Here is an 11,037-nt window from a genome sequence, read left to right as displayed (position 1 = left end):
TTATATTTTTGCAAATGTCTTGAACATCCAGCTTTGTAGAAGCCACCTGGATTTTCATATCTGCTTCTTCATTTAATTTGTGGAGATATGTTATTTAGATTGAAGTATATGGGAAAAAATCTGGTCTCACAATATGGAGTAGATAAAAGGAGGAGTATTTTAATAGGATTTTAAAAATAATTGTAGATATTCTTTTCTGATATTGAAAAGTTGGCAAGTGATAGTTTCCAAAGGTTAGCTCCAATGTGAAATCTGAAATCATATCAAAGACCTTTTATATATTTTTCAAGTCCATTGTTCTATCTTGTACTTTGAATGGATCTCTTATCCGTGCATGATTTTGTAAAAATATGTCTCAGTCATTGTGGAACATACTGTTCTACAGTCCATTTTTAAAATCCATTGTTCTATCTTGTACTTTGAATGGATCTCTTATCCAGGCATGATTTTGTAATAACATGCCTCAGTTATTGTAGAACATACTGGTTCACAGATGCAGAAGTTATTCAGATCTTCCAAATGTTGACATATTTCGTTACACAGTATCAAAAATCACATTCATTGATATCATCTCTGATCCCATCAGAGAACTTTGAGTATTGGAAAGATGTCAAGATCATGACACGGGTTTTCTAACATTTGAATTTTTACTTAAAAGCTCTGATTTCATCAATGGCAACAAATACTGTCTCTTTCTTTCAAGTGACAGGCTCACTTTATTCATTTTCAAACAATTGTCTGCCAAATTTTTAAGTCTGAATAACCATAGTTTCAAGTAAAAATGGTGTTCCATGGGGGAAAACGTCTAGTTCAGCTGGCAAATCCAAAAATAGCACAAGTGCTTTTTTTCCCAGAGCTACCTTCATACTGTAGTATTCAGCAGGAGTGCTTTTTGCTTACTTCTTATTTGTCACATAGAATAAAGATTGTGCTTTAATAATATTAATAATTTTAACTGCTTCATTGAGGACATTCTTAAATAAAAGAACGCATCCTCTGAATGCATCAGGATGAAAAACTCCAACAGCTACTACTGCAGCTTGATGCCACTGCTATTTTTTTTTTTTTTTTTTTTTTTTTTGGCAAGGTGTCACTCTGTAGCCCAGTCTGGAGTGCAGTGGCGTGATCTTGGCTCACTGAAACCTCCACCTCCCAGGTTTTAATGATTCTCCTGCCTCAGCTTTCTGAGAAGCTGGGATTACAGGCACGTGCAACCATGCCTGGCTAATTTTTGTATATTTAGTAGAGACAGAGTTTAGCCATGTTGGCCAGACTGATCTCAAACTCCTGGCCTCAAATGAACTGCCTGCCACAGCCTCCCAAAGTGTTGGGATTACAGGCGTGAGCCACCGTGCCCAGCCTGGCGCCAAGGCTTTGATTCATGTGAAGGCACAAGTGGTTTTACTCATCATTGCTTTTGCTCCAGGCAAATTATGTCAGTGAAAAAGGCAAATTGTATCTTTATGTTTATATGCAAATAATTTTGAACTCGTGGACCACTGAAAGGGTTTCAGGGATCCTTAGGGGTTCATGAACCTCACTTTGAGAAGGGAGAGAAGAACCATGGTGCTCAGAGCTGAAACTTAGCATCTTGAATATCCGACCTAGTTCTTCTCCTAAGCATTACTTGAGACACGTAAGCTCTCTTCAAGGGGCAGCCCAGCTCTCTGTTCCCCCTTATGTATAGGATTCCAAGGTGCCTGATCAGTTTCCATTGAAGTGTGGTGTCCACTGAACCCAACACTCTATGAAGGAACTAATCAGTCTGGGGTCTAGCAGAGTGAGGTCCCTGATACCAAATTTAACCTTTATTATAACAATCAAAGCCTCCGAACTACATTAGAGGAATTCTGGAAAATTAGGAAAAGAAAAAAAGTCACCTATAGTCACACTACCTTGACAACCACTGTCATGCTGTAGCCTAGGGTGGCCTAAAGGTTGACTCATCCTGAACTTCTTGTTGTTGAAAAAATCCCAGGGCTATTTTTTTGTCTTGATGCTGCTAAGCCACATCATTCTGGCCCTTTCCAGTTGGGTCTTAGGTTCCCAAGAGGGGGACCTGATATTCAGATCTATCCACTTCATTCATATAGAGCTCCCCTGTCAGTGGTCCAGAACCCATTGCCCAATTGGACTAACCCTTCTAGCTTCATGTGATCTGCACATAGAATGCATCCATGTCAATGGCTCTTTCCTAAATTCCCTGTTGAGGCTTAGAAAATGATACCCCAAATAAAGTCCTCCACAGTAGCCTCAGAAGCAACCATTTTTCTCTAACCTTCTGCCCTCAAGTCTCTCAGTCCCATGCTCCCCCAAGATTAGCCATAGAAACTGGAATCCCTCTTCTCCAAGGCAGGTAGAAACAGAACCCTTTTCCCCCAAAGTCAGCCATAAAACCTAATTATATTACTCTACTCTAAGTTTCCCTCCACCTTTCTGTATAAAAACTGGCCATAAAGAAATTTTCTTGGTTTCGGCTTTGTTTGACTCTATGTAGGTTGTAAGACTCCCATTCCAGAGAGAGCCCCGTCCTACCCCCAGAAGGAAGGAATGCAGCACAGAGAGGCCAAAAAGAATCTAGAACCTGGGATACCAAGAAGAATCTAGAACCCAGGATACCTAGAAGAATCTAGCCAGACAGGCCTTGTTTGACTGTATGTAGGTCATAAGACTCCCATTCCAGCGAGAGTCCTGTCCTACACCCAGAAGGAAGGAATGCAGCACAGAGAGGCCAGGAAGAATCTAGACAGACGGGCCTTGCTAGGTTTCCCCACTCAGTCCGTTAGCATTAGATCATACCCTTAGGGAGCCTGGATAGCTCAGTCGGTAGAGCATTAGATCATACGCTTTTTGTTCAATTCTGTATCTACACGGCTGTCCACACTTTGCTGAACCTAAGCATCAAAGTGGACAAGTTCCCTCGTCTCTTTGGGTATTCACTCTGTAGGCTCCCATGTACACACATTAAATACATCTGTATGCTTTTTCTCCTATTTATATGCCTCTTCTCTGAGATTTTTCAGTGAAACTTCAGAGGGCAAAAGGGAAGTTTCCCCTTGGTGCCCCCACACCCCATGGGAATCTTGGATTATAGCTCTTGATGGTGAAACCACCGGCACTGATGATGCATCCCTTCTGTATTAGTTTTCTAGGCTGCTGTAACAAATTACTACAGACACGGTGGTTTAAAACATCAGAAATGTCTTCTCTCACAATTCTGGAGGCTGGAAGTCTAAAATGAAGGTGTTGACAGGGCTGCTTTCCCTCAAGAGTCACTAGGGGAGAATCTGTTCCTGCCCTCTTTTACCTCCTGGTGGCAGTGGGAGTTCCCTGGCATCCCTTGGCTTGTGGCTTCTCTTCTATGAGGGTCTATCCAATCTCACTCTGCCTTTCTCTTGTTCGGGCACTTGATATTTTAATTTTTTCCCAAACCTCTTGTGTCACTTCATAGGGCATTTCTGACAGCTGTTAGGGTCCATCTCAATAGTCAAGAATAAGCTCCCTTCTTCAAGATCTTTAATTTAAGCAAATATTTCACCCTACGAGGTAATATTCACAGGTTTCAGGGATTAGGATGTGGACATATACTTTCATGGGGGAGGCACCATTCAGCAGACATTTATTTGTAGCAGCAGTTTTCAGCGAGGAATAATTTTGCCCCCAGGGGATGTTTGGTAATGTCTAAGACATTTTTCAGTTGTCACAACTGTGGGGGATGGAGTGCAGCAAGCATCTGTGAATAGAGGCCAGGAACGCTGTTGAACACGCTACAGTTCACAGCACAGCTCCCCACAGCAAAGAAGTATCTAGTCCAGAGTGCCAGTGGTGTCGATGTTGAGAAATTCTGACTTACAGTAAATTAGTATTATAGTATACACTATCCGAAAAGCAACTGCTGTCATCCCTGTCTCTAACTCTTTTTCATTATCGCCTTTATTACGTATGACATTAAATCTATTCTATCCCATATTTATTTGCTTGTTGTCTCTTTCCCATCCCAAGGGCAGAGATGTTTGTCTGTTTCATTCACTGTTGTGTCCTCAGCACCTTGAATAGCACTCAGCACATTGTGAGCATTCTCAATATTTACTCAATTTATTAGTTAATAACGGTGCAGATATTTCCTCTCTCTCTCTCTCTCTTTCTCTCTCTCTGTCTGTCTGTCTCCAGGGTCTTGCTGTGTCACCCGGGCTGAAATGCAATGGCACAATCATGGCTCAATGCAGCCTTGACCACCTAGGCTCAAGAGATCCTCCCACCTCAGCCTCCTGCCTGGCTAATTTTTAAATTTTTTATAGAGATGGAGTTTTTATTTTATCTTATTTTTTGAGATGGAGTCTCGTTCTGTCACCCAGGCTGGAGTGCAGTGGCACAATCTCAGCTCACTGCAACCTCCACCTCCTGGATTCAAGCGATTCTCCTGTCTCAGCCTCCCCAGTAGCTGGGATTACAGATACACGCCACCACACCCGGCTAATTTTTGTATTTTTAGTAGAGACAGGGTTTCACCATATTTGTCAGACTGGTCTCGAACTCCTGACCTCAGGTGATCCACCCTCCTCGGCCTCCCAAAGTGCTGGGATTACAGGCGTGAGCTACCGCACCGCACCAGGCCTGAGTTGGAGTGTTGCCAATTTGCCCAGGCCAATCTCGATCTCCTGGGCTCAAGCGATCCTCTCGCCTTCATCTCCCAAAGCTCTGGGGTTATAGGCATGAGCTACCACGCCTGGCAGGTACAGACATTTCTTGAGCCCTTACTCTATGCCAGCCACCATGCTGGGTTATTATCTCTTTTTGATACTCACCAAAACCCCTCTACGTTAAGTATAATTTTTCTCCTCCATTTCTCAGATAAAGAAACTGAAGAGGTTAAGTTATTGCTGAAGATCACACAGCTCTTAAGAGGTCAAACCAGGGCCCTTTCTCTGGTGACCCAACTCCAGAGTATTCCCTTGGAGAGGATGTGACTTCTAGGTACCAGGCATGGTGCCAGGCACTGAAACAGAGAGGAAGAAAACACGAGCCCTGTCTTCAAAAAGTCACTAGTCCAGTGAGAGAAACAGGCAAGTAAGCAGGCTCGTGTGACATGAGTTGCCGCGAGGGATGATGAGGGAGAACTGTTATAGGCTGGATGTTTGTCCCCTCAATCTCATGCTGAAATGTAATCCCTAGTTTTGGAGGTGGGGTCTGACAGGAGGTGATTTGATCGTTGTAGCAGATCCTTATGAATGGCTCATCACCATCCCCATCCCTTATGGTAATAGGGAGTTCTTGCTCTGTTAGTTTATGGGAGATCTGGTTGTTTAAAAGACTCTGGGGTCTCCCCCTTCTCTCTCTTGTTCTCTTTGTCGCCATGTGACATGCTGGCTCCCCTTTGCCTTCCATCATGATTGCAAGCTTCCTGAGGCCTCACCAGAAGCAGATGCTGGCACTATGCTTCTTATGCAGCCTGCAGAACCATGAGCCAATTAAACCTCTTTTCTTTTTCTTCTTCTTCTTCTTTTTTTTTTTTTTTTGAGACAGAGTTTTGCTCTGTCTCCCAGGCTGGAGTGCAGTAGCACAATCTTGGCTCACTGTAACTTCCACCTCCCAGGTTCAAGCAGTTCTCCTGCCTCAGTCTCCTGAGTAGCTGGGATTACAGGTGCCCGCCACCACACCCGGCTAGTTTTTGTATTTTTAGTAGAGATGGGGTTTCACCATGTTGGCCAGGCTGGTTGTGAACTCCTGACCTAGTGATCTACCCGCTTCGGCCTCCCAAAGTGCTGAGATCACAGGCATGAGCCACCACGCCCAGCACCTCTTTTCTTTTCTTTATAATTACTCAGCCTCAAGTATTTCTTTACGGCCATGCAAGAACAGACTAACCCAGGATCCCAGCCTTGAAAAATCAGGGGAGACTACTCAGAAGAGGTTACATCTGGGTCAAGTCCTGAGGGATCAGTATTCATGAGTCATAGAAAGTTCTAGGCTAGAGGAGCAGCATGTGCCAAGTTCCAGATGAAAGGCGGCTGGAAGCTGACCATGGCTGAAGGCAGGGTGGGAGCAGGAGACATGGAGAGAGAGCAGTCAGAGATGAACTTGGGAGTTGGTCCGGAAGGGGTTAATCCTGGAGGGCCTGCAAAGTTGGACAAAGAAGTTGAGACTTTGTCCTAGAGAATCCAGAACCAGAGGGTGCCCTTTCAGGGTTTCAAGCACGCTGGCTTCAGTGCTGAACGTGAACCGAAAGGTCCTACTGCAGTGGTTCAGGAAGGGAATGCTGGCTGCCCAAACAGGGGCAGTGTTGTGGGGGTGAGAGAGAGATGGGTGGACACAAAACAGAATGACCAGGCAACATCAATGGAACTTAGGGGCAGGACCCTTGGGGATATCTGCAACAGGGGGCAGGCATGACTGCAATCCATTTTCTAAAAGGTGGGTGAGAATGAACACTTAATAAAATGATGTAAGAAGAAAAAACTATCTTTGGCAAAATGTTGCCTCCCCCTCCAGATCCCAGTCTGTGGATGGCCTCACTCCTCCTGGGTGCTAAGGGACAGGGAAGACAATATGAGGGTGTATCCTCTACTGTCATCCTCCCCACTGGGGGCCATGGCCTTCCACAAGCCAGTCCACAGTCTATGTCTCATCCTAAGCTGTGGCCCTGGGAATGTGCTGCTGATTCATTCTGGCCCCATCGGCTTGGAAAGGTGTCTGCTCTGTCCTACTCCTTTCAAGGCACCGGGCTGTCCTTGTAGTCATGGGGATGGGGCCAAACATCAGTTCTCAACCTTGTCCTGCCACAAGTAAATGATATTCCACGGGCAGCCACTTGTCTCCATTGGGAATGGGAATGATGTGTGGACAATTCAGCGGTAGGTTACCTGCAATTCCTGGTGCACCTGCTACACACCAGGGCATGCTGGGACTGACCACCCTGGAGTGAGCAGGATGTTAGGATTGGTCACTGCAGCATAAGAAGCTGCTGTGGATGAATGCCTGCATAGCAGTCAAAAAATTCCCCAGACTGTCACTGTCCTTCCCTCTACTTTGCCTCTCCTCAATCTGTGGCTATTATGCTTTTATCCAGGTGGCTCAATTTTTTAATTTTCACCTATTGTCAAGCCCAGGATCACCCTACAGGTGTAGAGAGTGGGTTGGCCAGGTATAAGAGAAATCTAAATTGTTCTGAAGGTGTGAGGCAGGCCTTGGCTAGATCTGGGGGATAACCTTGCCTCAACTGCAGGGGCCACCTCTTGGTCCTGCTTGCACAGTCTTGATGAGGCTGTGTGTATTTGATGCTCACCTGTGAACTATAAAACCTGTGGGCAACACAGCAGGATGGTGCCAGTGCATTACTAAGAAATTGTACCTGGAGAGTGAAAGTTGGATCAAGGTTTCATTGCTTCATTTTTTTCAACCACATAAAGTAATTGTGCTGGGTTTTAAAAGGTAGAGCTGGGGGCCTAAGTGGTTAGTCAAGTCCTACTTTTGAACTTCCTAAAATCTGACGTCTCTCACCCTGCCCTGGCAGAGTGCCATCAGGAGAATCTAGGAGACTCGAGAAGCCACTTCACCTAACATCCTCATTGTGATCTCTCTAAGAAAGCTCGCTGATGACGCAGCCCCTGTGCTTCTCACACTCAACAGTAGCTGTGTTAGATGCACAGGTAAAAAGGCTCATTTTCACCAGCCTCCAACCAAGGCATCTGCAGGGACACTTCAGCATGTCACCGCACCAGACAGTGTTGCTGCCCTTGGCTCTCTGTGAGCATGCAGGCCCAGAGATGCCAGATCCTCTGCAATTTCAGGAGTAGCCAAAAGTCCGGATCTTCATGCTAATACTTCTGATTTTTTTTTTTTTTTTGAGATAGAGTTTCGCTCTTGTCGTCCAGGCTGGAGTGCAATGGTGCGATCTGGGCTCACTGCAACCTCCGCCTCCTGGGTTCAAGCGATTCTCTTGCCTTAGCCTCCTGAGTAGCTGGGATTACAGGCCTGTGCCACCACGCCCGGCTAATTTTGTGTTTTCAGTAGAGATGGGGTTTCTCCATGTTGGTCAGGCTGGTCTCGAATTCCCGACCTCAGGCGATCCACCCACCTCGGCCTCCGAAAGTGCTGGGATTACAGGCGTGAGCCACCGTGCCCGGCCAATACTTCTGAATTTTTAAGGAGATAACTAAAACTTCAAAAATGTTTTAAAATTAAAAAACAATATGGCCGGGCACGGTGGCTCATGCCTATAATCCCAGCACTCTGGGAGGCCGAGGTAGGTGGATCACTTGAGGTCAGGAGTTTGAGGCCAGCCTGGCCACCATGGCGAAACCCCTTCTCTACTAAAAATACAAAAATTAGCTGGGCACGGTGGCGGGCACCTGTAGTCCCAGCTACTCGGGAGGCTGAGGCACGAGAATCTCTTGAACCCAGGATTCGGAGGTTGCAGTGAGCCGAGGTCACCCCACTGCACTCCAGCCTCCAGCCTGGGTGACACAGTGAGACTCCATCTCAAAAAAAAATAAAAATAAAAAAATAAAAAGAGAAACAGTAACAGAAGCTACAACAAAAACTAAACACCATGTAACTAAACACTATCAGAGCCAAACCACATAGACCTGTGGGTCACGGCCATGGCCCACCAGCTCTGGGGCTCCTCAGTTCTAAGATTCTGCTCTCCAGCTCCCTCCCACTGGTCATCAGTGTTGTGACTCGTGCCCTGGGTGACAGTCATGTCCGCTTTTGGAACATTACTTCCCCTATCTGCAAGAGGCAAGTCACCCCTACCTTCTCCCCAGCTAAATGTGTCCCCAGGACTTTCCCCAGTGAACCAGCCCAGCACCTGGCCCCCTGGTACCTTGGAGATGGAGGCTGGGCAGTAAGAAAGACGCTGGGCTGGGTGCGGTAGCTCACACCTGTAATCCCAGCACTTTTGAAGGCCAAGGCAGATGGATTACCTGAGGTCAGGCATTTGAGACCAGCCTGGCTGACATGGTGAAACCCCATCTCCACTAAAAAACACAAAAATTAGCCGGGCGTGGTGGCACACGCCTGTAATCCCAGCTACTCAGGAGGCTGAGGCAGGAGAATTGCTTGAGCCTGGGAGGCAGAGGTTGCAGTGAGCCGAGATCGTGCCACTGCACTCCAGGCTGGCCAACAGAGTGTGACTCTGTCTCAAAAAAAAAAAAAAAAAAAAAAAAAAAGATGCTGCACTCCTCTTTTCTTTGCTACTTTCCTCTCCTGGGTTTTTCTCTGCAGGCCACACTGCTTTTAGAAGCCTTTCCCTTCATCTACCACCCGCTGAACATCACCGATGGCAGGCCAGCACTCTCTCAGCTCTCTGGGTAAGACTCAGCTCTCTGGGCTAAGTCTGAGCTCATCTGCCAGCCTAGTGATCTTGCCAAGAGAGGAAGGAGCTGGATCTGATGTGATCTGAACTTCGTCACCATACCGTCACAGCTGATGACCTAAGCTTCCTCCAAGTCGAGGGATGGTGCAGCTCCATTGAAGTCTCCTCTTCTCTCCTCCAGGCTCTGCCCACCTCACGAGAGCACATGGTCCTGACTGCAGTGACTGCAGGAAGACCTGGGATGGAGGGCTTTGCTTTCTCACCATCCTCTTGGCCTGGCTTCTCTAACATGTTAAAAACTTACAGTGGCCCACAACTGTAATCCCAGGACTTTGGGAGGCCGAAGCAGGTGGATCATGAGGTCAGGAGTTTGAGACTAGCCTGACCAACATGGTGAAATCCCATCTCTACTGAAAATACAAAAATTAGCCAGGCGTGATGGCACGCGCTTGTAATCCCAGCTACTCAGAAGGCTGAGGCAGGAGAATTGCTTGAACTCAGGAAGTGGAGGTTGCAGTGAGCCGAGATTGTGCCACTGCATGGCAGCCTGGGCGACAGAGTGAGACTTCGTCTCAAAACAAACATACAAACAAACAACAACAACAAAAAATCCCTCGCTTTTTTGCTGGTATCTATAGTGCTTTTTTTGCTGGTATCTATAGCTTTTGTGAGACTCAGTTTATTTAGCTTTAGCTTTCCTGATATTATTATTCTTACAAATTTTGCCTTGGGACACTCTTTCCATTCATTGATTCAGGCAATACTTATTGAGCACCTACTATTTGCCAAGCACTGGGAAGCCATTGAGAATAAAACAGTGAAGAGTTAGAAAAGGTCTCTGATCTGATGGAGGGCCTATTCTACTGGTGCTAACTGAACAAGTAATATGTGCTCTGAAGACATTAAAACAAGACAATGTGATGGGGGATGCTGAGAATCCAGTAGGAAACTACTTAGATGGGAAAATCAGGGAAGGTCCCTACAAAGGAGACATATATGCTGAAACCTCAATAAAGAGAAGCAGCCAGCCATGCAAGGATATGGAGGGAGAGCAGTTATGGCAGAGGGGTCAGCAAAGACAAAGGCCCTGAGGCAGGGAGGAGCTTAGCATGGAAGGGGAACCTGGGAGGCCGGCTGGCTGGACTTGAGTGAACATGGGGCTGAGATGAGATCAGAGGAGAGCAGAGGCCAGATCCCCCGGGCTCCTAGGTCAGGGTGGGGCTGGTGCTTAGGAGTTCTGAGGCTGACTCTGATTTAGTCTGAGGTCGGTGTCCCTCTCAATCCCGACTCACTTGTGGTCCTCTATGGCCCGCAGGCTTGTTGAAAGTGCCCCACTTCCTTCCTCACAGCAGCCTCTGTGCAATCCGAATTGCGCTGTGAATTTCCCTGCCACTCAGGAGCCCGGGGCAGGGCTTCACCCCTAGTTCAGTTACCAGGAACCAATCTTTCTCCACCTTCCTGCCCTAGCCCCACTGGGTCTGTCTCTGCATCTGTGAAATGGCTGAGTGTGACCAAATGATGCAGGTAGCCTTTCCACTTCTTTCTACCCGTGGCGCCTCGGGTGGAGGCGTGGAGTTTGATTGGAAGAGGGTAAAGCAAAAGTGGAATCCTGGCGAGAAATGAAACTGAAAGAAAAAATTCCTCCTGGAATTTTTTGGCTCTAAGGAGGCCAGCAGCGGGGGTTTGGGGTAGGAGGCAGAGGTAGAGAAGGAGGGAGGTTT

General features: G+C 46.7%; 1 annotated feature.

Annotated features, from left to right (window-relative positions):
• Positions 10,853-10,992: an enhancer, noted in NCBI's record as "active region_4787". NCBI's record gives its function as "activates an Ori minimal core promoter by ATAC-STARR-seq in GM12878 lymphoblastoid cells {active_cell/tissue: GM12878}" and the evidence as "EXISTENCE:reporter gene assay evidence [ECO:0000049][PMID:35858748]".

This window comes from Homo sapiens, chromosome 11 (assembly GCF_000001405.40).
Source record: "Homo sapiens chromosome 11, GRCh38.p14 Primary Assembly".
In the NCBI taxonomy this organism is placed as follows: Eukaryota; Metazoa; Chordata; class Mammalia; order Primates; family Hominidae; genus Homo; species Homo sapiens.
This window is presented reverse-complemented; position numbering and strand designations above follow the sequence as displayed.